A 27,248-nucleotide genomic window follows, 5' to 3' on the forward strand; every position below is an offset into this window, starting at 1 on the left:
ATGACTTTGTCATTGTGCAAACAGCATGGTGTACTTACATAAACTAGTTGGTAAAGTCTACTATATATACCTAGGCTACATGGTACAGCCTCTTGCTCCTACTGTACTGAATACTGTAGGCAATTGTAACACAATGGTCCGAATCTGTGTATCTTAACATATCTCAACATAGAAAAGACAGAGCAAAAATACGACATAAAACATAAAAAATGGTACATCTGTGTAGGGCACTTACCATGAATGGAGCTTGCAGGGCTGAAGTTGCTCTGGATGAGTCAGTGAGTGAGTGGTGAGTGAACGGGAAGGTCTAGGACATTCCTGTATACTACCATAGACTTTGTGAACGCTGTACACTTAGGCTATATTAATTTATTTAAAAAAACTTTTTTCTTCAATAATAAATTAACCTTAGCTTACTGTAACTTTTTTTATTTTTGAGACAGAGTCTCAATCTGTTGCCCAGGCTGGAGTGCAGTGGCGCAATCTCGGCTCACTGCAGCCTCCTATTCCTGGGTTCAAGCGATTATTATGCCTCAGCCTCCCGAGTAGCTGGGATTACAGATGTCCACCACCATGCCTGGCTAATTTTTGTATTTTTAGTAGAGACGGGGTTTCACCATGTTGGCCTGGCTGGTCTCGAACTCCTGAGTTCAAGTGATCTGCCCGCCTCAGCCTTCCAAAGTGCTGGGATTATAGGCGTGAGCCACCATGCCCAGCGTACTGTAACTTTTTTACTTTATAAACTAAATTTTTTAAACCTTTCTGACTCTTTTGTAATAACACTTTAAACACAAATACATTGTACAGCTGTACAAAAATATTTTCTTTTTCAATGTCCTTATTCTATATGCTTTCTTCTATATTTAATTTCTTTTTACTTTTTAAACTTTTTTGTTAAAAACTAAGACACAAACACACACCTTTGTCTAGGCCTACAGATTCAGGATGCTCAATATCATTGTCTTCCACCTCCTCATCTTTTTTTTTTGAGACAGTGTCTCACTCTGTCACCCAGGCTGGAGTGCAGTGGCACCATTACAACTCACTGCAGCCTCAACTTCCCAGGCTCAAGCAATCCTCCTGCCTCAACCTTCCAAGTAGCTGGGACTACAGGTGTGCACCACCATGGTGGTTAATTTTTTCTTTTTTTTTTTTTTTGGAAGAGACAGGTCTCATGATATTTCCCAGGCTGGTCTCAGACTCCTGGGCTCAAGCAACCCTCCCGGCTTGGCCTCCCAAACTGCTGGGATTGCAGGCATGAGCCACAGCACCTAGCCCCACCTCCGACATCTTGTCCTCTGGAAGGTGTTCAGGGACAGTAACACACACGGAGCTGCTATCTCCTGTGATGACAATGCCTTCTTCTGGAATACCTCCTGAAGGACCGCCCTGAAGCTGTTTTACAGTTAACATTTTTTTTTTACAGTAGAAGGAATACACTCTAAAATAATGATGGGGGCCAGACGCAGTGGCTCACGCCTGTAATCCCAGCATTTGGGGAGGCCAAGGTGGGAGGATCACCTGAGGTCAGGAGTTTGAGACCAGCCCGGGCAACAGGATGAAACCCTGTCTCTACTAAAAATACAAAAATCAGCCAAGCGTGGTGATGAACACCTGTAGTCCCAGCTACTGGGGAAGCTGAGGCAGGAGAATCGCTTGAACCTGGGAGGCGGAGGTTGCAGTGAGCCAACATCACACCACTGCACTCCCACCTGGGTGACCAAGCGAGACTCTGTCTCAAAAATAATAATAATAATAATAATAATGATAAGAAGCATTATGTAGTGAATACATAAACCAGCAGCATAGTCTTTATCATTATTATTAGGTACTATATATTAAATGTAAGTGTCATACTTTTAGACAACCCGCCTCAGCCTTCCAAAGTGCTTGGATTACAGGTGTGAACCAACACACCCGGCTGCTACTAAATAAAATTAAACGTGAGGAAGTTTAAAATATGAACAAATAAGCAATTAGGGAAAAAACCAATAGGATGCAGTTATATGTCTTTTTAAGATATGGAAACAACATGATTTTAAGCTGTGAAATCAGAGAGTCAGCTGTGAAGGAGAAGGAAGTAGACAGAACAGATGGGGGAACACAGTTACCCTGGATGGACAAGGCTGGCACTAAGAACTAGGGAAACATTGAGCGCATTGGCTACATATACTAAAACAATAAGGTCATTTTCACCTATCAAATTGGCCATGATATATTGTTTACTTGTTCTTCTGTCTAGTTCTCAGTCCTCACTAGGCCCCTGTGTGATGGCCACTCTCATATGTTATCACTGTGAGATAAATTGGCACAAAGTCTCTGGGAAAAAAATTGAAGCCATACATGTCAAAAGCTTCAGTGCATTTATATCCTCTGAGATAATAATTTTTTCTATGACTCTCTCCTAAGGAAATTATCAGGCAAAATTCTTTAAAATTTCAAGCAAAGGATACTCACGGCCACATTGTAATAAATGCAAACAAAGGGAAGAAAAACTATACAATTGGTTAAATCATGGCACATCTACACAATGGAATTGACAGTGCCACTTTCAAAGAATATTTAGTGACAGGGGAAAATGCTCATAATATACATTTAAAAAATAGGCTAAAAACTGTATTTGTAGGCCAGGTGCAGTGGCTCACACCCATAACCCCAGCATTTTGGGAGGCCGAGGTGGGAGGATCACTAGAGCAGAGGAGTTCAAGACCAACCTGGGCAACAGAGCAAGACCCCGTCTCTACAAAAAATATATATATAAATAAATTAGCCAGGTGTGGCGGGTGTATGCCTGTGTTCCCAGCTACTTGGGAGGATGAGTTAGGAGGATGACTTGAGCCCAGGAGCTGAAGATTGCAATGAGCTGCCATGGCACCACTGCACTTCAGCCTGGACAACAAACTAATAAAACTATCTGTAGTATGATCAATTGTACAAACAAAGAGGAGAAGAAATACAGAAAATATTAGTAATGGCTATAACTGATTGATGGAACCATGGACCATTTACATTTTCTTTGTCATGCTTTATTATTTTCCAAAATGTCCGTGTTGAGCATATATACATTATTTATGTAATCTGATGAAATAAATATTGAAGCTATTCCTTAAAGCCAATACACAAGCAGGATACATTTCACAGAGCAGGAGCTAAGCTAGATTTGAATTAATCAGAAGCTCTTGTCACTTCTTTAGTACCCACTTCACAGAAGCATTTTATTGTGCTGCTTAGAGACATGTTGCCCACAACTGTGTTTTCTGCTCTCTGGGGAGCATTTTAACCAGCACTTCTGGTTATTTGGTCCTATTCTTTTTCAAACTGTGGAACCACCCCTTTGGATACTGATTTATAAGGTAAGACCAGCCATTAAATTAAAGATCACAGCTATAGAGCTACATTCCACCTGGACCAGAGAAACCAAGATCCCATAAGCGCTTTGTTGCTGTTGCCCAGGTGCAGGCGGGTGGGCTGGTTCCTGACGTCTGTCTCTCTGATCTAAGCTCCAGGTCCTGGTCTCTGTCCTGCTCTTACTCTGGGCCCATAGCAAGGACTTGTACCTGGTTCTCAGTTCCAGCCTTTCCCTTCCAGGGTGACTTTGTTCCCCCATCTGTTTTTCTCTCAAAGGTATCTTTGCTCTCCCTTCTCACAGCTTAAAATCATGTTGTTTTCATAGTTAAAAAGAAAATATAACTACATCCTACTGAAGCAGCCCCCTCCTCCTTCACTACCTGCAAACATGGAATCCTTTTCCCCTCTCCTTCCCGACCTCCATCCACATCTCAGCCCATTTTAAACACCCAGCGTCTGCCTCACCATTGTGCCCAAACTACTTTCAAAGGCTACCAAAGGCTTCCTAATTGTTATAGACAAAGGTTCCTTTTAAGACTCATAATTTAAAATCAGATGTCAATCATACCTCAGTAAAAGCAGAAAAAATCTAAATAAACTTAAGTAAGATTAAATCAGCCACCCGCTCTTTACAGTGTCTCTCCTTATTATGCGTCATCACGTGCATTTGTCTGTTGACTGCCAGAGAAACAAAGCAGGCGCAGCCTCCACTCTCTCCTGGACCCTGGAGTCAGATGGACAGAGCCAGACAATACCAAGTGGGAGAGCAGCTGCTCCGGGGTGGGGTCGGGGGTGGGCAAGAGGAGGGAGTGGAGGCTGCAGGGAGGAGGTGGAGCCACACGGCAGCAGGAGGGCCAGGCAGGGGTGTTGAGGGAGAGGCACTGTGCCAAGCACTGCCAGGGTTCTAAAGCTGCCTCAGGTGTGGAGTGCCCCTCACCAGGCACCCAACTTCTCCCTCCCTCTTAATGTAGCCATCTACTTGAGGCGTTTTGTTCTGGCTTCTCACCTTCAATATTCTTTCCTGGGGCCTCACCACTTCCAAGACTCAGCTATTAGGTCCTGAGCCCACAGCCCAATGTGTAAAAGGATGCCTGGTTTTTAGTTCCCTCCCATCACTTCCAGGGTGACTTTGTTCCCCTGCCTATTATTCCCTCTACTGTAAGCCCTAGAGGCTAGCTAACCTTCAATCACAGGTGTGATTACAGGATTGCAGGTGTGAGCCACCACCCCAGCCCCTTGCTACCTCTAAGGCATGTTTCCCCCTTGCCGCCGTCTTAATGATTGTAACGGTCTCTTCATGAATCCCTACCCTCCCCTGCTCAAAAACCTTTAATGGCTATTGTCCAGCTCAAGGGTGAAGTCCAGAGCCTTCCAAGGCCTTCAAGGCCCCACGCTACATTTCCAGCCTCATTGTCATTTGCTCCCTCTCCCCTATCCCATCCTTCACTCCAGACCAGAGAGCTTTCTTTTCTCTGGTTTGCTCCTGTGTCTCTGCTTACTCAGGCTCTCATCGGCTACGCTGGCTTCCAGGCCCATCTCAAATGGCTCCAGCAAGAAGGCGCTGTCAACCATTCTATCCTGCCTCTACCCAGTCTGAGTTACTCTACTCTTTCAAGGCATATCATAGCACTTTGTAAATAATTAGCTTATGGTATTTATGTACACATTTCAGTGTTGTGGAATCTTTATTGACCTGGGCTGCTGTGTAGACTAGGAGCCTAGGAGAAACCTGCATATAGTAATGCCCCTAAACAGTTAACTAAAGTGGTGTTATGGCTGGGCGTGGTGGCTCATGCCTGTAATCCCAGCACTTTGGGAGGCTGAGACAGGTGGATCACCTGAGGTCAGGAGTTCGAGACCAGCCTGGCCAATATGGTGAAACCCTGTCTCTACTAAAAATATAAAAATTAGCCGGGCATGGTGGTGCACACGTGTAGTCCCAGCTACTCGGGAGGCTGAGGCAAAAGAATCGCTTGAACCCGGGAGGCAGAAATTGCAGTGAGACAAGATCCTGCCACTGGACTCCAGCCTGGGTGACAGAGCAAGACTCTATCTCAAAAATAACAAGATAAAATAAAATAAACCCGAGTTATTTCCAAGAACTCTACACTATTTTCTGATATGTGCTAAGAAATAGAAGTCTCTTGCCCATGTCAGAAAAGCGCATCTAGGTCAAACTTAGTTTGGCCAAGAAAAAAACCAAAGTAATGATAGATTAAAGTTGATACTTGCCTCTTGCACCCCTGAAAAGAATTCTGTAGTGTGTTTCTAATCGCTTGGCCATGTAGTTGGCATTTAATATCGCAGTTTCCGTGGCTTGTTTAAGACCCTTGCCTCCCATCATCTGCAACAAAGGGAAAAAGAGCCATTAGCCATTGAACAGGCAAACACGAATGTGAAGAAACCAACCAAAAGACACCCCCAGATAAACTCCACCCACAAAGGAAGGCAGCCCACCATGACTCTGGAGTAAAGATGAGTGGAAAATTCCAACAAGGATATCTGTCAGATCCCTGTAAGCCTGTAATACATTTTTGTTTTCTTCTTTTAATAGTAGTTTTACGTTCTTTATTGTAGTAGCAAAGCCTACAACAGGGCAAGCTGACTACTGACTACTGTGTTATCTAAAGAGAGAAAAGAATTGTTCTTAAATTACATGTGTTTTGTGATTTTTTTGTTTGTTTACTATGAATTTGAGAGGTCTTGATAATTGCCAGGAATCCGATGGGATCTGGGCCAATATCTCCACGGAAGCAATTTTGTCTGGTTTATTTTCCCATTGTCCCTAGTAGAGGCTGCTTATGTTTAAAAACTGCTCAATCTTGTCCTGGTAGTTAAGAGTCCCTGTGATCATAAGGGATACACATCATCACTGCAAAGAGCTTCAAATCAAGACTGCACCAATTCTTATGGCCTACTTTCTTCCCAGAGTACCTCACATGTGATGGAGTTGGCATATATATTAAATACATAACTAATGTAAAGAGAATGAGAGAGCACCAAATAAAACAACAGTAGTACTTTGGTATCATTAAGGGGGTCCAAAGTAAAAAGGGGCCACATTGCTCCAGGCTGGTCAAAGAAGGGTTCCTAGATTAAGAGCCAGAACTTGGCTAGAAACTTAGAAATAAGTAGAATTCGGATAGGGAAAGAGAAAGGAGAAGGTATACCAGGTGAGAAGAATGGCAGAAATGAAGGCGTGGAAGGGGAGGGCACATGACTGTCATCTGGGAGTGGATGTAGGGCAAGGTGAGTTGTGACTCCATTTTTAAGCCCAAAACTTCTCTAGGAAGGACTTCGACTTTGTCCAGCCAACCACTGGCTCTCAACCTATGTCTCATGGGGGGATTTTTTAAAAATGCAGACGGCTTAAGTCCAACCCTACATGTGCTCAGTTTGGTTCTCCTTGGAATGGGGCCTAGGCATGTGCATTCTGAAAGAATCCCCTAAGGATTTCGTGCAGGCTAGTGAGAACCAGGTAAAGCAACAGGAAGCCACGAGAGATACGTGGGGGCCTAGGGTGAGTCTAGCAGTCCTGTAGGTGCGCCTGTGGAATTGCAGCAGGGAGAGAAGCAGCTAAAGCTAGAGTCCAGGGGATAAGTAATAACAGCCTGAAATAAGAGAAGGCCCAAGGCCAGAGGGGGCAGCTTAAACCCTACTTTATTTATTTAGTTTTTAAACTGAGGCACCAGCTGTTGTTCCAGGCATGTAGCCAAACCAACCTTGGGGCATTTATTTCCTATATGTGGGAAGTCATCTCCAACCCAAATATGTTCATACAAATAACCCAGATTTACAGAACCCAGAGATCAAAAGGGAAGTGGAATTTGATTCTGCTTACAAAGAAGCAGACCTTTATTCTGATTGCTTGTGTTGTTTGCAAAACAACTTGAGTATCATTTTTAAAAGCAAGTGTTAGTGTCTGAGGTACAGAATTGTTCCGGCTTCCAAGAAACTTTTCGTGAAGAATCATAAATGCCATGCTGTTCCAGAAATAAACAGTCAGCTCCACAGAGTCCTCTGGAATGATTGGCATAGCTGCGTTTTGGGGGTTTTGTTTCAGTGGGAGCCCGCCTTCCTTTAAAGAGGGGCACTGCTTTGGGGAGACTGCTCTAATGAGCAGCCAAACAAGTGTTCTTATTCACAGTCTTGTCAGTCCAGGAGGTGGGCAGGGCAGTGTGAACAAGAACTGTAGAAAATCAACTCTGGCCCTGGTGTTATTTGGAATAAGACAAAGGAAGGAAGCCTGTACTCTGACTAATTACGCAGAGAGCACAGCACCACAAACCCTAAAGGCCAAAGAGCTCTGGGGAAAAACCAGAGAAGCAAATTTCTGCTATTTTTCATCTTCTCCTCTGGCCCCCCCCAAGAAATATATAGCAAAGTGAGATATATAGCAGGATCTCAGCAAAGTGGAATAATTAGTACATGCACTGCTTTTCACTCGGAAGGGGCTATATAAATCCTGCAGGAAACCAAAGGATGCGGCCAGAACATCCATATGACTCATGGAACTTAGCTGTGTCTGGAAAAATATATCTGATGTTTCAGTTTCTCTGATGTTAAACCCACTCTGAGAACCCAAAAGAAGTAGTGTAATGAAGGAGAGATGAAATGATTTTTAGCTCATCTCTTCAGGAAGGTTTCTTCCACCCAGGCCATCAGCAATATTCTTTGAACCACATCTCAGATCATGAATTTATTTGTTTTTAAGCCAAGAAGTCTGCAGTATCCGGTCCCCATGCATGCCTGACGCCCCCACCCACCTGCACACCTGCACATACTCCCAGGCCTCACCTTGATATAAGCCCAGGAAATGGGCAAGATGGAACTGGAGCCCCATGGGGCCGCACTGACGGTTCCCACAGGACAGGCATCCTCATTCCGCTTTAGTGAAATGACGGGATGATTGGGCAAAAACGGGGCGAGATGTTTCTTCCTGTATTTTTTTTAAGTGCAAATTCAGAAAATGTAAACGATTCAGTTTAATCTAATGGGAAGGTTCTGGGCCCTCCCAGAAAGCCTTGTTCTTAGCAGAGGAGCTCTGACAGTGGAAGGGACTCTCCACCTGCTGGGAGGCAGATGTTCAGGAAGCGATCCTTCCTTCCTTCCTCCTCTGGTGGAGGTCCACCAGCCATCAGTGTCCCAGGGCTCACCCAAGAAATGTGGTGGAGGGCTTGATAGAGGCAGGCAGCCATAAAACAGTGGAGTTCCATGTCCCTCCCTCCCACTCCCAGCCCCATTCCCTCACCCCTATACACTTTCCCAAGATGGACATAGGAGGGGCTGATGAGAAGATGCCCCATGGGCTGACATGAACATCATTCTCCCCACCTCCCTGACAGCTGAAGCACTGGAGCTCACACATTTACTAGAAATAATCATCATCAAAATGAATCTCACTTTAACCGTAGTCCAAGAAAAAAAAAACAAGAAAGAAGAAAAAAGTAAGAAGGCCAAGCTTCCAGCAACTCTGAAAACTGACTTCTTTAGCATATTTTTGGGAGACTGAAGCAGCTCAGGAAAACAGCTGCTCTCATCATCATTTTCCCAAGATGATTTGATTTCAGTGTAAAAAGTTATCCACAGCTAAGAAATATTCCTTCAGTCCTACTCTGGCTTCATCCAATTATTTCTAGTAACCAGGTTTGTTTCTTCCTTACTTATGTGTTACTTATCTCAACACCTTACATCTAATTCACTTTCAATGGAACCATTAGCTGATTTTAAAAAAGAAAAAAAAAATGCTAGGAAATCCAAAAGTCCGAAAGGCACTTTCTAGTGCCAATATTCCAGTTACAATACGTATGCTCAGGTGAAGTTCCCTATTCATTATTCTGTTAATAAACCTGCTGTCTATGTGCAACTGGAAGCTCAGTGAGGCCAGATGCTATGGTTAGTAAAATCTAATTACGCTTTTCTTTGGAAATCCCCTAAAAGCACCCATTTTGCTGCTCCTCCCCCAGCCCCTACAAGTGCACTACACCGATGAGGGTATCCTCAACACATGAAGACTTTGATGGGATGAGTAGTCTATTTAGGGCCACTCCTTCATTCTGTCTCCAAAGCCATCCTGAAACCAGCAGCCCAGAACTTACACTCCGATGGGCCCCATGCCAGGACCACCTCCTCCGTGGGGAATGCAGAAGGTCTTGTGAAGATTTAGGTGCGAGACATCAGACCCGAAGTCTCCAGGGCGACAGATTCCCACCTACCACAAAGGCAAGGGCCAAAAGCAAAAGTCAAGAGCTTGGAAGCACCCTCCAGTGTGAAGGCCATGGCTGGCCGGTGCTGCCTTCTCCCCTCAGAGGAAAAGCAGGCAGAGCCACATCCATGGTGTTCACAGAAATGTCCTCTATACTGGCCCAGTTCCGTAGTCACAAACTGGCATCCGATAGGCAGAGTGCTTGTGGTTGCTATGGAAATAGCAACTGACCATTTAGTCCAATTTAGATTTAAAAATATGGATTTGAATACACAGTCTCTTCCTAATTATCCACACACCACAAAGGGAGAGAAGTGTCTCTAACACAAGAAAGGGCAGAACCTCCATGTTGTTGAAATAGGCAACTCTTCCCTGAGCAGCGCTACCTTCCCCTGCGTGGTCGGCTTTAGTATGATGCACGTTACCGAACGGCCCCGTTGGGCACAGTGATGGAAGGGGCTGCGGGGGCACCAGGGAGGAGGCTGAACTGAGAGAGGGAAGGCAAGGCTCGCAGTCTTCCCGAGATGACCCAGATACCAGGCATGCCATCCCACTAGCCTTCCCACCACTTGGGTGTTAGGACTAATTTTGATGGTGACCAAAGGTACAGAATTCATTTATGCTACAGAACCAATAGACAATCTCTGGATTACACTTGTGAAATGAATGAGAACCAAAGAAAGGCTCTAAAATGGTAGGAAAAAAAAAAGAGGTCGGGCGTGGTGGATCACACCTGTAATCCTAGCACTTTGGGAAGCTGAGGCAGGTGGATTGCCTGAGCTCAGGAGTTCAAGACCAGCCTGGGCAACACAGTGAAACCCCATCTCTACTAAAATACAAAAATAAAAATAAAAAAATTTAAAAAAATTAGCTGGGTGTGGCAGCATGCACCTGTAGTCCCAGCTACTCGGGAGGCTGAGGCAGCAGAACTGCTTGAACCCAGGAGGTGGAGGTTGCAGTGAGCAGACATCGCACCACTGCACTCCAGCCTTGGCGACAGAGTGAGACTCCATCTAAAAAAAGAAAGAAAGAAAGAAAAAGGAAAAAAGCAAACACCAATAAGAGTCTCAAAAAGATTGTGTCACTCCTCTCCTGCAGGGGCTCCCAACAGCATTTCTTCAGAGGTTCACAGTACATAGATCCTCTGTCCCCCAAGTAATCAGGATTGGGCCCTTTGAGCCCCCATTTCACAGCTGATAAAGCTGATGCCAGGATAAGTGGCTTTCCAAGGCCATGAGAGATCAACAACCACCAGTGGTCAGGTCGTGGGTCTGAGTTCCCTCAGGCAGGAAGCCTCTCAAGAAGTCAGAATTTTTTTTTTTTTCCACATATCCATTTTCTCAGTGGGAACTAAGGGCGGGCCTCTTCAGTTCCCACCTGAGCATTCATATTTGCCCCGTCTAGGTAGACCTGTCCTCCATGTTGATGGATGAGGTCACACACGTCACTGATGTTCTCTTCAAACACCCCATTGGTGGATGGGTATGTAATCATGATAGCTGCTAGGTTCTCCTTGTGCTTATCCACCTGTGAAAGAAAAGGGGTAGAGAAGGACATGGAGGGAGGATATGTTTCTTTCTTGGCCAAATCCTCGCCTTTCATTTTAAAGGATGAAGAAAGATGAAGTCTCAGTCTTTACTTTCCTGGAACTGTCTCAAAGTACAATGACAGCAATAAAAAAAAACCACAGCCATTACTCCCTTCACAAATCATTCCAAAGAAATAATAAGATCCTGGCTGGGTGTGGTGGCTCATGCCCGTAATCCCGGCACTCTGGGAGGCCGAGGCGGGCAGATCACCTAAGGTCAAGAATTCGAGACCAGCCTGGCCAACATGGTGAAACCCCGTCTCTACTAAAAATACAAAGATTAGCCGAGCATGGTGGCAGGTGCCTGTAATCCCAGCTACTTAGGAGGCTGAGGCAGGGACAATTGCTTGAACCGGTGAGGTGGAGGTTGTAGTGAGCCAAGATCACACCACTGCACTCCAGCTTGGACAACAGAGAGAGACTCCACGTCAAAAAAAAAAAAGAAAAAAGAAAAAAAGAAATAATAAGATCCTTTCAGGCTAGGTCTCTATGGTCCAGACCAAAAGGACTATTCACAAGATTTTTGGATATTTTGGGCCCAACTCTCTAAGGTGGTTTTCCCTTGGTTCAAGTCATCTCAATAACGATTTCAGACGTTTGTGGTTCTAGGTGCGTCCATTCTCATAGTTAATCTCTCTGCTCATCTTCTCATATCCATTCCTTTCCCTTGCCTTCTGTTGAAGTTAAAATTCCCAAATTACAGCTAGATAGGAGGAGTAAGTTGTAGAGTTCTATACCACTGCAGGATGACTATATTTAACAATATATAATTTTGAATAGTTAGAAGGAGGATATTGAACGTTCCCTCAACACAAAGAAATGATACATGCTTGAGATGATGGATATGCTGATTACCCTGATCTGATCTCTATACATTTGATGTATAGAAACATCACTATATACCCCATGACTATGTACAACTATTGTCATTTAAAAAGATAAAGAACAGAGGCCAGGCGTGGTAGCTCACGCCTGTAATCTCAGCACTTTGGGAGGCTGAGGCGGGCGGATCATGAGGTCAGGAGATCGAGACTATCCTGGCCAATACGGGGAAACCCTGTCTCTACTAAAAATACAAAAAGTAGCTGGGCATGGTGGCACACGCCTGTAGTCCCAGCTAATCAGGAGGCTGAGGCAGGAGAATTGCTTGAACCCGGGAGGCGGAGGTTGCAGTGAGCCGAGATCGTGCCACTGCACTCCAGCCTGGGCGACAGGGTGAGACTCCGTCTCAAAACAAACAAACAAAAAGATAAAGAACAGGAATTGGAAAAAAAAAAAAAAAAAGAATTCCCACAAGAAGTGTTTCTGTAAATAAAAGTCTTCTTTATTCTTTCCTTTTACAGAAGGCAAGCATATATAAAAGTCACATCCCTGTTTGTTTTCCTGGCCAGCATATCAGAGCAGGCATGTTTGAGAACATGGGGGTGGCCAGGGAAGTCATGTCCTATATTACTATAATGGAGGGACTTAATAATTTCAACTACTGGCCTGGAACACTTGTTGGAAAAAAGCTTTGTGGAGCAATGGAAGGGTAGAGGTGGATCGAAGAGAGGTGCAGCATTGTGGATTTTCAGCTTCCTTTAGAAGGCAACTGCACAGAGTTCACAGTCTCCATGCCTAATAACACCACCATCAAAATCACATTGCTATTCCACTGGTTTCCTTCCCGCTTAAGATGCAGCTGCCAGTCCGCTGGTGGGAAGCAGATACGGTTGCTAAGCAACTTCTTCCTGGAGGTTGGGAGGTTGAGAGTGGGGGTTGGTGGAAACCAAGCTGCATGATGCCAGGAATTCAGCATGATGGGGCTGGCACAGTCATGGATATTTGCAAAGCTGACATTTGTGTTACAATTCCTGACACGAAGATGTGTAAGTGTGACTGCCATTTTGATTATTAAGTGGGGAAGGCGAGAAGGAGAGGGAAGATTGGGCAGAAAGAGGCAGGCAGGTTCTGCAAGGAGTACTCTTACTACCACCATGAATAATTCATTCAGTTTTTTACACAAGCTGGAATTAGAAAACGGGGATTTCTCCCTGTTGGTGATGGGAGGGGTAGAGTAGACTCTGGTCAAAGGAAGAACTGCAGACTTTTCATTAGAATGCAAGAGAAGACATTTACATAATCCATCAAGTCCCTGATCCCCACCAGCACTCCCCATCCCGGCCTCTCCCATCTGCTAAGGAGAAGACAAGTACCATGGCCTTGAGGTGAACTGCATCGATATTCCCATATTTATCCACCTCCACAGGCTGAATCTTCATGCCTGCCATGTGGGCACTTGCTGGGTTGGTCCCATGTGCTGATTTCGGAATGAGGCAAACCTACAGAATAGAAAGGAAGCAAAGAAAGAGCAAAATCATCATCAGACTATGAATAATGACAGAAAAGTACTACAACATGCTTGTAGCACAAATTAGACACCACCTGTTTTTATTTAGGCTGAACACTAGTGCTTTAAAATCTGCTACAATTTAATTATTTGTCATTGCAAAGCAATGTCCAAAAAAAGTTTCCATATGAATCCCTAAATATTGTTCCCTGAAGATGCTCAGGAAATCAATACAATCTTCCTTTATCCCAGTACAATAAAAATAGGCCTGGACTTATTCTAACCTTGTCTCAGTTAGGATACACAGAAAGCACCTTAGAAGAACATGAGACTGGAAGTTAAACTCAAGGACTCAGGGCCCACATCACAGCTTCAGTGCTCTGCTTGGCTTATCCAGGACAGATGATAATGACAGACGTTAATTCCAAGGCCTCCCAGTACCAATACACCAATTATATCAATATTTATCGGATGTTTACTCTGTAATAAATTATTAGTTTCTATAAGAACCATAAACTAAGCATTAATAATGATCAACCCGGCCAGGTGCAGTGGCTCACGCGTGTAATCCCAGCACTTTGGGAGGCCGAGGCGGGTGGATCACCTGAGGTCAGGAGTTAGAGACCAGCCTGGCCAACATGGTGAAACCCCGTCTCTAGTAAAAATACAAAAAATAGCTGGGTGTGGTGGTAGGCGTCTGTAATCCCAGTTACTCGAGAGGCTGAGGCAGGAGAATTGGTTTAAACCAGGAGGTGTAGGTTGCGGTGAGCCGAGATTGCGCTATTGCACTCCAGCCTGGGCGACAAGAGTGAAACTCCGTATTTAAAAAAAAAAAAAAAAAAAAAAAAAGATCAACCTGGCCGGGCATGGTGGCTCACGCCTGTAATCCCAACACTTCGGGAGGTGGAGGTCAGGAGTTCAAGACCAGCCTGGCCAACATGGCGAAATGCTGTCTCTATTAAAAATACAAAAATTAGCCAGGTGTGGTGACGCACGCCTGTAGTCCCAGCTACTCAGGAGGCTGAGACAGAAGATTCGCTTGAATCCGGGAGGTGGAGGTTGCAGCGAGCCGAGATCGCGCCATTGCACTCCAGCCTGGGCAACAGAGCAAGACTCCGTCTCAAAAAAAAAAAATAGCTAAAAATAAAAATGACCAACCCCTACCCCGGGTTCACACAACTCACTCACTAACAATGGTGGCCTGTGAATGACTGTCTAGAGTCCAGAGATGCAGCAGAAACATGGACAAGGGGATGTAGCTTCAGGTTAAGGAAATCAAGGCAAAGTGCCTCAAGAGCTGAGCCTAAGTTAGAGCTTACAGCTGCACTGAATTTTTATGGAAGCTGGACAGTAGGTGCAATGCTAAAATTCTCAGACTCAAATCATCCTTCATTTCCTCCAAACAACCATGTGGACACAGGCTCTTGTAGAACTGACGATGTGTCCCAGTGGGAAAGTAAGTCAGAAGGTTTTCCCCAACAAAAAGCATCAAGGAGAAGCCATGATTACCCTGAAAATCATCCTCCTATTTTTTATCCCACAGAGAGATGGATGGGCATTATTGAAAATAGGCTATGAAGTTAAATCTTAGCTTACAGCTCTTTCCTCAAAAACAGCAAAGGAGTCTACTTAAGAAAAATAAACGTGTACAAAAAGAAAACATTAGCCAAAGGCAAACATGAACTACTTTGCACTCTTCTACTGTCAGAAGGTTTGTGTCCCTTTAGAACGGCTGTTGGTCTCATACTGGTTATGTCACGTTGTCCTCAAATCCGTTTTCTTGTTTGAATGCTTCCCTTTTGTAGTTAATTTTTTTCTTTAATTTCTGAGGACCCAAGCTGGAGGCACTGTCCTCTCTCACAGGTATTGCTAGTCTACAAAAGGATCGTTGGATGAAAGGATCCCTTCAGGGCAGAATATTGATAAGAAGGAGAAAGGGGAATGTTAAAAATAAATATAAAATATTCATAGAAAGCCAAAATGAAGAATTCATACCAGGTGAGTTCTGTTGAAACACAAACATATAAAAACGTCAACCACCCTGTGGTACACTGAATAACGGGCTCCCAAAGACATCCCTGTCCTAATCCTCGGAACCTGTGGGTGTTTCCTTATATGGCAAGGGGGACTTGCAGATGGGATTAAGGTAAAGAAAGATCTTGAGATGGAAAAATTCTTCTGGATTTTGGGCTGGGCCCTAAATATATTCTTAAGTGTCCTCATCAGAGGGAAGCAGAGGGAGATGGGACCACAGAGGGAGCGGGAGATGTGCTGACTGAAGCAGGAAGCTCGAGCCAAGGAACGCAGGAGGCCTGCAGATGCCAGGAAAGGTAAGGAAACAGATTCTCCCCTGTCTCCCCCAGAAGGAATCAGCTCTACCAACACTTTGACTTTAGCCCAGTGAAACCAATTTCTGACACCTGGCCTCTGCAACTATAAGAAAATTAATGTGTGTTGTTTTAAGCCACTAAGCCTGTAGAAATTTATCATAGCAGCCATAGGAAACTAATACACATCCTGGTACAAGGAGCGATGGAAAGAGAAGTCACAGTGGCTTTGTGAAGCACTCATTTATATGTTGCTGTCAGACATTTCTGGTTTTCTATGAGGATTTAGAGGACTTTAATTATTCTTTATAATGTTAAGTTTTTCCTCAGTTTAAAATTGTAGTGTTGGCCGGGCGAGGTTGCTCATGTCTGTAATCCCAGCACTTTGGGAGGCTGAGGCAGGCGGTTCACTTGAGGCCAGGAGTTCAAGACCAGCCTGGCCAACATGGTGAAACCCTGTCTCTAATAAAAATACAAAAAATAGCCAGGCATGGTGGTGCACGCCTACAGTCCCAGCTACTTGGGAGGCTGAGGCATGAGAATCACTTGAACCCGGGAGGCGGAGGTTGCCATAAGCCAAGATCATGCCATTGCACTCCAGCCTGGGTGACAGAGTGAGAGTCTCTCTTGGGGGAAAAAAATTGTATTGTTGTGAGGGATATGGAAGTAACACGACCCAGATTTGAAGTTTTGGTTTATCCAAAGCAAATCCAGCATTTGGTGCATTGATGCCCATTTAGGGGGTGCTATGTTTTCTCAACTCCCCAGGGTGCCGCGTGGCATAGAATAGCATGAGGTCATCTTTAGACTTGTTGAATGAGTGAAGGGTTAAGGAGATCTCCTGTGCAAGGGAAACTAATGTCTTACCACTGGTAAAATCTAACAACCAAAGGCCACTACTTTGTCTCAGGCAGTTGGGAAGAAAAAAATATTCCCATACAGGTTTTGAGCTTTCTTTGTTGATTTACATATAACATAATTTGTTTCCTTTGGTCAATGTTTTCCCTTTGTATAGGAAACTCAGACTCTGAACAGCAAACCTAATTGTTTTTCTTTAGAGTTTTTATTTTTTCGTAAGATCTGGAGGTCTGCTGAGTAAGTCAGGATTTGACTGACAAATTGAAATATTAATTATAAAGTGTTAAAGGCCATGCCTGGTACATGGTAATTGCCATATAAGTGTTTGTTAAATAAATTTGTATTCTCCCAAAGTAAACTCATAAATCAAGAAGTTAGGCATTCCATTTTAGGAACCTCTGAAATTTAACCTAAGAGAAAATGTGAAAATAACTTCAAAAAGCAGCTTGAAAGAAAAGACCCATCAGGAGCCCAGGCACTTCTGTAGCACATGATTTCCCCACACTCCCTGCACATGACTTCCCCACACTCCCTTTCAAAAAAGAATGATATATTTTGCTGGATTCCATTAGAATCTATTGTGTGGGAGCAGCTGCCTCAGACATCAGTGATGTGAAAAAATCTTCCCTGATTAGTGAATACTAAATCATTTTCTTCTCTAACTAAGAAAGTTGGCTTTAATTAAAAAAAATTTTTTTTTGAGAGGGAGTCTTGCTCTGTTGCCCAGGCTGGAGTGCAGTGGTGCGATCTCAGCTCACTGCAACCTCTGCCTCCTGGATTCAAGTGATTCTCCTGCCTCAGCCTCCCTCAGTAGCTGGGATCACAGGCGTGCACCACCATGCCTGGCTAATTTTTGTGTTTTTAGTAGAGACAGGGTTTTGCTATGTTGGCCAGGCTGGTCTTGAACTCCTGACCTTAGGTGATCTGCCTGCCTTAGCCTCCCAATGTGCTGGGATTACAGGCATGAGCCACCATGCCCGAGCTAATTAAAATTTCTGATCCAGAAGGATGCCAACATTTCCAGGCTAATGAGCTTTGTATTTCTACCAGCTCAGTGGCTGGAGGGCTTCCCTGCCTCTCCCTTTCCCCCTCTCCCTGAAGCACAGCACCCAGCCCCTCTCCCTCCTGCAGAGTGAAATGGCCTCTCATGACACTTCAGTGATGGCAGGATGGGCAATGGGGCCAAGAGAAACATCACACACAGTGGGTGGAGAAGGGAAGGAGGACAGGAAAACACAAAGAGAGGGAACAGGAACCAGAAAGAATCCACAAGTCACGGAAGAACCCCGCCCAGGCCAAACCCAAAGGCCTTTCATTCTTTCTCCTTGGCCTTTCCAGTTTGGTCCCCAGCTGCTGGACATTCACAGCTACTTCCTGGTGTCAGATTGGGAAATTTGGGAAATGGCGAGGGGTGGGAAGCATTACTGCGTGGAAAGAATCTGGATTTTAGCTGGCCCTTTGCCATTAGCTAGTCACCTGCTTTCTGCAAACACTGCTTTCTGCGGCCTCTCCGCCAAGCAGTGGAGGAGTCGGGTGGAGATGTCACACAGGACAGGCTGCCCCTTTCCAGCATCCCCAGGCTCCTGGGCACCTCGTGGTGAAAGATACTAATGAAGAGGAACTCCAGAGACGACCTCAGAACATGGAAGCCATGAGGGAAAAACAGACAGGAGAGAATCTGGCATTGTTTTACTGGCTGGACACCTGGAGCTCCAAAGTTTCCTTTCTGATTCTGTGAAAGTGCCGAGACTCTCAGGTCCCAAGAGCAATTATAGTTCTAAACTAATCATTCCTTAGAAAGCTGAGAATTCAGAACCACGAATGAACAAACTGTGGGGGAATTTCAGGGTCTGTGTCTGTCTGGTTGACCACTTCACTTCTCTCTGGACTGGCAAGCAGTCCTTGACCAGGGTTTAATCATTTATTCAATTCACGAATGGCCTGTTTTTCAAAGATCTTTAGACATGAATTCTAGGGCCAGGTGCAGAGGGTCATGCCTGTAATCCTGGTCTCCCTAGCACTTTGGGAGGCTTCCTTGAGCCCAGGAGTTCAAGGCTGCAGTGAGCTATGAAGAGAAAAAAAAAAGGGCCAGGCGCAGTGGCTCACACCTATAATCCCAGCACTTTGAGAGGTCCAGGGGCGGGTGGATCACCTGAGGTCAGGAGTTCGAGACTAGCCTGATCAACATGGTGAAACTCTGTTTCTACTAAAAATACAAAAATTAGCCGGGCGTGGTGGCGCATGCCTGTAATCCCAGCTACTCAGGAGGCTGAGGCACAAGAATCGCTTGAACCCAGGAGGCAGAGGTTGCAATGAGCCGAGATTGGGCCATTGCACTCCAGCCTGGGGAACAGGGCGAGACTCCATCTCAAAAAAAAAAAAAAAATTCTATTCCCCAACCAAGATGAAAGCCTGGAAAGACACACCTGTGGAATCAGGATGAACTATGCAAGGGAAGGAGGGAAAAAAATGTTCCTTCGTTTCCCCTGTTATGAAAGGGAAGTGAAACACTTTCAGCATTCTTTATTGCAAATTCCAGGCAACTAGCCATAAGTAACCTTCCAGTGGTAATAAAACCAGAAATGGACTAAGATCGGGCCACTACCACTCCACCCTACTTACTTAGCCAGCCAGCACCACCCTATCCCCTTTGTCTGCAACTCTCTAGTATCAGCAGATGCTTTTGCCCTGCTCTCGGCTCCTAGGCGATGCTCCTATTAAGGACTTCCGCCCCACAGCTCAGTACAAACTCTAGCATAGCACTGGCCATCAAAATGAAGGAACCAGGAACACAGGCCTCCTCTGGCACAAGCTGAGGCCTGAGTTAGGCCACTGCTACAGGCACTGCCCCTGGGGGGAGCGAGTGGTGTCCATTAGTACCTGCTGGTCCCCACAGTGGTCCCCAAGAGGCGATTGGGATCCTGGAGACCAGGTTCTCATATCCAAAGCAAACATTGAAGCAGGACCGTGAACTCTGCTTTATGCCTTTTTTGGTGCTTGAAGTTGAGAATCATCTAATGGAGAATTTATTTATTCAACAAATATTGTTTGAGCATACTATGACCAGAACCGGGCTTCAGCACAACAGGGGTTACTGAAGAATTAAAGCATGGTCTCTGCCCTTCATCCAGGCCCAGGGCCGGGGCTGAGCCAAGGAGAGGATGCTTGCAATGGCAACATTCCTGCCCTCTTCCTCCCTCTGCTCCCTAGAGAGCAGTTCCACAGCCAACTGGCTGACGTTTGCATTCTGGGTTTGAGCAAGTCTTTTATCTCTGAATGTTTTTCCTCAAAATGGTCAAGTGGGATGTCTTGGAAGCAAGGATCATAATGGCTAGTTCACAGAAATTTGTTTCTTGACTATATGTTCCCTCATCTGCTTCCAAGAAGGCTTGGAGGGAGTGTCCCACAGAAGGGACCCTGAGAGCCAGGACCTCTGTGCCCCATGGTGAGCAAGCGCCACCTCCTGCCATACTCACCGTTCTGTGCCCCTCTCCTTTCTGGTTTAAGTAGGCTCGGATAGTGGCCAGTCCAGCATATTCTCCCTGGGCTCCGCTTGCAAAGACAAGAAGAAAGGGATCACGGTTAGGTCTTCTGGCTTTCATTTACTCATTCAATATTTATTGGGCCCTGGCCAGGGGTTCACCAGCACGTGACACATGGTCACTGTCCAGACGCTGAGAGAAGCTCATCAAGGAGCTCTGCTGGAGTCAAAAGGTCTTGAACAATCAAAACAATCAAAGCAACAGCATCCAGTTTGTGCACTACAGCTCAACCACTCCTACCCAAAGATGGAGCTTTCTATATCCTTGCTCAGGACCACGCATTGAAAATAGCCTTTTGTTATTATGAAAAATTTCAAAACTATACCAAAATACAGTGAAGAACAAAAGGAACTACGACGTGTGTGTCAGCCAGCTGTAACAATTTGGTTTACGGTCAATCTTGTTTCCTATTATATTTCTCACTAACCACTTTCATGCTGAACTATATATTTTGAAGCAAACTTCAAACATCCTATCATCAGTTCAAATGTCAATATGCAGCCTTCAAAGATAAGTATTGTTTTTAAAAATATAACTACAGGCCGGGTGCAATGGCTCATGCCTGTAATCCTAGCACTTTGGGGGGCCGATGTGGGCAGAGCATTCGAGCTCAGAAGTTCAAGATCAGCCTGGGCAGCATGGCGGAACAGTGTCTCCACTAAAAGTACAAAAAATTAGCCTGGTGTGATAGCATGCATCTGTAGTACCAGCTACTGGGCAGGCTGACATGGAAGGATCACTGGAGTCTGTGAGGCGGAGACTGCAGTAAGCCGAGATGGTGCCACTGCACTCCAACCTGGGTGACAGAGTGAGATCCCGTCTCAAAAAATAAATAAATAACTACAAACACAATTGTCACACCTAGAACAATGAACTTCAGTTTTTTCCTTTTTTTTTCCCTTTTCTTTCCCCCTTTAAATGGGTAATGTGTCAACATCTTAACAAGGTTTAAGGAAGACACACCTATGAGGTGAAAACAAATCATCACTCTATAATTTCTTAGTATTACCAAATATCGAGTCAAGGGCCTGATCAGCCCCAAAAGAATGAGGCACTTTTAATGTGACACCATTCCTGGCAGTCTCAGGTTCGGCTCTCCCAGGCCCCGGATGCAGATGGCTGTTAGGGGCTGGCCATCCTCATCTCAACGGTCCTGGAAGGCACCACTTTCAGGGCATATGCCATGACTAACATTCCGGTGAGCAATGCTGACTCAATCGTAGACTGTTATTTCATGTTCCCAGTACCCTGTGCAGGAAGGGAAGGGAAATGAGTAATAGATGTATCAGTCCCATTCAAAATGTGTATGTCTGCGAAGCTGAAGGCAAAAATTAAATACTAAAAAAAGATACAAAAATTTAAACTTTAAACAAATGAAAATTTAAAAATAAAATAACTTTTTTTAATGTTACCCACAGAAAATCGGTAAGAATTTTAAAAAATGTGTATGTTCTCCATGCCATCACCCCCATTTTGCACACAAAGAAACTGAGGTCTGAGTGCTACATGCCAAATGGCCAACAGTGACAGATGAAGACTTGGGTGTGGAGTCAGCCTGCCTCCCAGAGCTACGGGCTCCCTTTGCAAGCAGTGCTGCTCTTCTGAGCACACTGTGCTCTCCAAGGACGGAGAGTTGTGGGAGCAAATGCTGATTTTCTTTCTAGCAGAAGTCTTGTCTGATTGATAGAACTGGGGGGTTTAGCTAAAATAAAAAATAAAAAAAAAAAGAAAGAAAAGAAGAAAGAAAGCCTGTCTTACAAGACCTGAGTCACCCCGTTCCTCGTCACCCGCACTGAGTCAGCTGCAGCTATCTCCGCTCTCTTCCAAGAAGAAAGGCAAAGACTGCTCTTCTGTTTTCCTGGCTTCTGAAAAACAAGTCCTAGCCTATTTGAGGTTTTTTCATTTTGAGGACAAGAAAATGAATATGCCGTGCTTCAGGAAACCACTCACATCACAAGTAACTTCATCTCCCTGTGCCTATGTGCCTGAGAGATGTGTAAAATGGGGATAGTAACAGTACCCATCACACAGGGCAGATGTGATGTGTAGTGAGATCATCAAGGTCAAATGCTTCTCAGCCAAATCCTGCCCATTCTTCAACTGGCTACAACTCTCTGCAAAGCCTTCCCTAAAGCCACCAATCCAGCTCTGTCACTTCCTCAGAGAGGCCTTCCCTGAAGGCAAGAATTTTGTCAACCTTGTTCACAATTGTATTCTCTATTCCAAGAACACTGACATAAAAAATATTTGATAGATTGATTAAAGAAATAATCCTCTACCTCCTCCAAATTATCATAGCATTTTACTCTACAATCTTATCTGACATTAATATCCTATACATGTACTGGACATAGAAAATTATTACCGATTTCACATTTACTTTGTATGCCTGTCTTATCTCAATTAGAGCATAAGCTCTGACAGTAGGGTCTAATTCTCAGAGTTCTGTATATTCTTCAACAGGGAATATATAGAACAGTACTCTGCATGTAGTAGTTCTGCAATAAGTATTTAGTAAATATTTTAAAAATTGAATTCCTCCAGCACAGGCAATCAATATGAATGTCATCCTTTCCCCTACAGTAAGGAACCTCAAGAAAAACATTTTATATTTACCCCTATGTTTTTCTCATGAATTCTATTCATCTGACTTTCTTGAAAGGCCAATCAAGGTGTAGACTAGGAATGAAGGAAGAAGCAGATTACTGGCTATGAGCCAGTAGTGTAGGAGAAAGACTATATGCTAAAGACTTGATCAGAAATGCTGGATTTCTCTCTCTCTCTCTCTCTCTGGCCTTAAACATCTATAAAAATCAGCTATGTTTCAACCCAAAAAGTGCAAATGATATATTCAAATGTGACACAAGGATTACTACTGGGGCATTAGTAAAACAAATTGTTAGTGCCACCTGTTGGTAGAAAAGTCTTATGAAAAATAATTGCTTATCTACATAACCCAGACTAAGCAACCATCAACAAACTATTATATATGGAGGACAGGCTAGGTCAGTGCTTTTCTGACATCTGTTTAAAATGAAGTAGTGAATGGTCTGGAGCTGCAGGGCTGGCCAGTGAACGGGGAGCCTCAGAAACACCAAGTTTATGTGAGCACAGCTTAAACTGTCCTAGAAAAACAAGGCCCTCCATGCCGGGCGTGGTGGCTCACACCTGTAATCCTAACACTTTGGGAGGCCAAGGTGGGCGGATCACCTGAGATCAGGAGTTCGAGACCAGCCTGGCCAACATGGTGAAACCCCATTTCTACTAAACATACAAAAAATTAGCCGGGCGTGGTGGTGCATGCCTGTAATCCAGACTACTTGGGAGGCTGAAGTGGGAGAATCACTTGAACCTGGGAGGTGGAGGTTGCAGTGATCCGAGATCACACCACTGCACTGCAGCCTGGGCCACAGAGTGAGACTCCACCTCAAGAAAAAAAAGAAGAAAAGAAAAACAAGACCCTCCAGTGTATGGCATTTACTCAGGCTGATTAAGGAGCTGCTGCTTAATGCAGAATGGGGAAATTGAGCAGACAACTTCTTCCAAAACTCAGATTCATTCTACAAAGAATCCACAAGAAATTCAATAGACCAGAAAAAGTAGAACAACTGAATAACAGGTATAAGAGCCCACAAGGTGAAAACAGCTGGAGTTGATGGAATTCAACAGTATTGTGATGACTATAACCCAGGCCCTTTCAGTATCAGTGTATCATCACAGGTGTGCAAGTTCAGGAGCAATACTCAATGTAAACTTAAAAAAAAAAAGAATTTGTAGATGACATGGCAGAGATAGGGTGAGGGTGATAGTTCAGAAGAGCTAAAAGTTCCTTTGCCAAGGTTGGAACGGGAGTTCAAAGAAAAAACAAATTTTAAAGATTTTAAAAATTAATTTATCTTTCCCTTTACTAAGAACCCTAGCCAAACATACTGAGAATTAGAAATGGATGTTGTGCCGGGCGTGGTGGCTCACTCCTGTAATCCCAGCACTTTGGGAGGCCGAGGTGGGTGGATCACAAGGTCAGGAGTTCGAGACCAGCCTGGATAATATGGTGAAACCCCATCTCTACTAAAAGTACAAAAATTAGCTGGGTGTGGTGGTGGGCACCTTTAGTCCCAGGTACTCAGGGAGCTGAGGCGGGAGAATTGCTTGAACCCGGGAGGCGGAGGTTGCAGCGAGCTGAGATCGCACCACTGCACTCTAGCCTGGGCAACAGAGTGAGACTCCATCACAAAAACAAACAAACAAAAAGAAATGGATGTTGCAGACCAGGCACAGTGCCTCATGCCTGCATGCCTGTAATCACAGCACGTTGGGAGGCCGAGGCGAGCGGATTACCTGCAGTTAGAAGATCGAGACCAGCCTGGCGAACATGGCAAAACCCTGTCTCTACTAAAAATACAAAAATTAGCCAGGTGTGGTGGTGTGCATCTGTAATCCCAGCTACTTGGGAGGCTGAGGCAGGAGAATCGCTTAAAGCAAGGAGGTGGAGGCTGCAGTGATGTAAGATCGCGCCACTGCACTCCAGCCTGGGCCACAGAGTGAGACTCAGGCTCATGGCCGGGGGGATTAAAAAACATCGTGGCTAACTTTATAGACACCATAAGCAATTTCTCAGATGGTGACTGCTTTGGAATATTTGGACATGGGTCACTGTAGCTGCATGCTTTTTATATATGCAAAAAGTAACATGAAACCCATTTTGCAAGACTGCAGAATGCACTAAAGTAATAATTTATGGTGAACACCAGCAGTCACCAAAACTCCCACTGAATCACATTGTAATTATATGGAGAAAACAGTATTTGTGTTCTCAAATAGAATGTTGTATTTTTATACAAGTCAAAAGATGTTAAAAATGTGCCATAAGAAAAGACCACGCTGTGGATTCTAAAGTTTTAAAAATTATAGTACCAAGAAATTAAGATTTATATATTTTTGAATTACTAAATATCTAGATTGACCATATCTATTTTTGTTTTAATTTTCCCTAAATATTCTGAAAATCATTTTATAGTTTTTAACACACCATCATAGTTTGTGCACGGATGGCCACCTTTAGTGTGTGATTTCAGTGAAGTTCCCATTGAAGTTATTTATAAGCAGTGGACCTATTTTACTTCTTATATTTGAACTTCTTAAGAAGTTTCTTGACCAGGCATGGTGGCTCATGCCTGTAATCCCAGCACTTTGGGAGGCTGAGACGGGCAGATCACCTGAGGTCAGGAGTTCGAGACCAACCTGGCCAACATGGCGAAACTTCGTCTCTACTAAAAATACAAAAATTAGCTGGGCGTTGTGGCAGGTGCCTGTAATCCTAGCTACTCAGGAGGGTGAGACAAGAGAATCACTTGAACCCAGCAGGTGGAGGTTCCAGTGAGCTGAGATCGCACCACTGCACTCCAGCCTGCGCAACAAGAGCAAAACTCTGTCTCAAAAAAAAAAAAAAAAAAAGTTTCTCGGGGTATGTTTTTAAAAAAAATATTTTATTACATTTAAAATGATACCTTTTCATGAAAAATATTTATTTTATGAGTGATAAATTATAAGTTTAAATATGAGGTGAATTTGTTCCCTTCAACTACCTATAATATCTATAGCATCCAGCATACAGCCCTTTGTACAAAATGTAACATTTAGAAGCTAAAATATACATCATCCTCCCCCAAAATAATGATTTTCTTATAGACACAAGCAAGATTATTCTAAAATGCATATGTAAAGGCAAAGTAACTGGAATAGCTACTTTTTTTAAAAAAAAAAGAAAGAAACTGGCACAAATCAGTTCATCTGATGGCAAGGCTTATTAACAGTAGCCCCCTCTTATCTGCAGGAAATATCTTCCGGGACACCCAGTGGGTGCCTGAAACCATGGATGGCACCCAAACCCAGGTGTACTACGATTTTTCCTATACATACATACCTATGATAAAATCTAACTTATAAATTAGGCACAGTTACAGATTAACAACAATAACTAAGAATAAATAGAACAATTACACCACCATACCAGTATCACTACTCTTGTGCTTTGGGTACACTACTAAATAAAATAAGGGTTCCTTGCAATGAGACATTGCAGTGAGATCGTGCCACTGTACGATTTCACTGTTCCTTGAAAGCGCTGTGATAACATAGCAGTTGATCTGGTAACCAAGGCAGCTACTAAGTGACTGATGGGTGGGTAGCATATACACAGTGGATATGCTGGACAAAGGGCTGATTTACATCCCAGGTGGGATGGAACAAGATGCTGCAGGGTTTCATCACACTATTTAGAATGGTGTACAATTTAAAACTTAGGATGAATTGCTTATTTCTCAAATTTTCCATTTAATATTTTTGAGCCAGTTGACCATGGGTAACTGAAACTGCAAATAAGTGGGGACTATCATATATAGCTACAATAATCAAGCCTATGTACACAGAGATCACACATAGATCAATGGAATAGAATATAGAATCCAGAAATAGATCCAAACAAATATACCCAACTATTTTTGACAAAGTTGCAAAAGTAATTCAATGGAGGAAAGATCGCCTTTTCAATAAATGGAACTGAAACACTTAGACATCCATAGGCACAATCTAAGTCTCACAGCTTATATAAAAATCACCTGTAAATGGATCATGGACTTAAATGTAAAACATAAAACTATGAAATTTCTGGGAAAAACAAAAAACAGAATAAAAATTGTTGGGATCTAGGGTAGATTTGAAACCCAAAGCACAATTCATAAAAGAAAAAAATTGATAAATTGAACTCCATCATAATTAAAAACTTTTTGCTCCCATTAGGGTTACAAGGACAAGCTACAGAACGGGAGAAAGTATCTGCAAACTACCATAGCCAACGAGCAGTAAGTACAAATGCAATTCAGAAAATGATGCTGGGAAAATGACATGTGGACATGCTGTCAATGTGCTTAAAAGTACGAAGGAGGGTTACATTAGGATGTTGAAAATCAACTGGGTTTTCATTGGTGCTGAGTTTAGAGGTGTGTGTGGGAATGCAGAGCCTTTCAGTGGCTTTATTATCTGGGGGAATTCC

At 43.9% G+C, this 27,248-nt stretch overlaps 1 protein-coding gene across 1 annotated transcript in view, besides 1 other annotated feature; it reads right to left on the reverse strand.

Annotated features, from left to right (window-relative positions):
• The window catches only part of GLDC (glycine decarboxylase), a 113,263-nt gene that overhangs the window by 12,756 nt on the left and 73,259 nt on the right, over positions 1–27,248 (reverse strand). The window contains exons 16-21 of the mRNA NM_000170.3: positions 20,132–20,207; positions 13,337–13,462; positions 10,931–11,080; positions 9,447–9,559; positions 8,146–8,287; positions 5,581–5,692 (exon numbers count right to left, since the gene is read on the reverse strand). Of these exons, the coding sequence (NP_000161.2) occupies positions 5,581–5,692; positions 8,146–8,287; positions 9,447–9,559; positions 10,931–11,080; positions 13,337–13,462; positions 20,132–20,207 (719 nt within the window). The remainder of the gene's footprint in view (positions 1–5,580; positions 5,693–8,145; positions 8,288–9,446; positions 9,560–10,930; positions 11,081–13,336; positions 13,463–20,131; positions 20,208–27,248) is intronic.
• Positions 20,976–22,175: an enhancer, noted in NCBI's record as "P300/CBP strongly-dependent group 1 enhancer chr9:6566198-6567397 (GRCh37/hg19 assembly coordinates)". NCBI's record gives its function as "activates an origin of replication core promoter dependent on BRD2, BRD4, P300/CBP, MED14 and CDK7 cofactors, with strong dependence on P300/CBP, by STARR-seq in HCT116 cells {active_cell/tissue: HCT116}" and the evidence as "EXISTENCE:reporter gene assay evidence [ECO:0000049][PMID:35650434]".

Source organism: Homo sapiens, chromosome 9 (genome assembly GCF_000001405.40).
Source record: "Homo sapiens chromosome 9, GRCh38.p14 Primary Assembly".
NCBI classification, from domain to species: domain Eukaryota; kingdom Metazoa; phylum Chordata; class Mammalia; order Primates; family Hominidae; genus Homo; species Homo sapiens.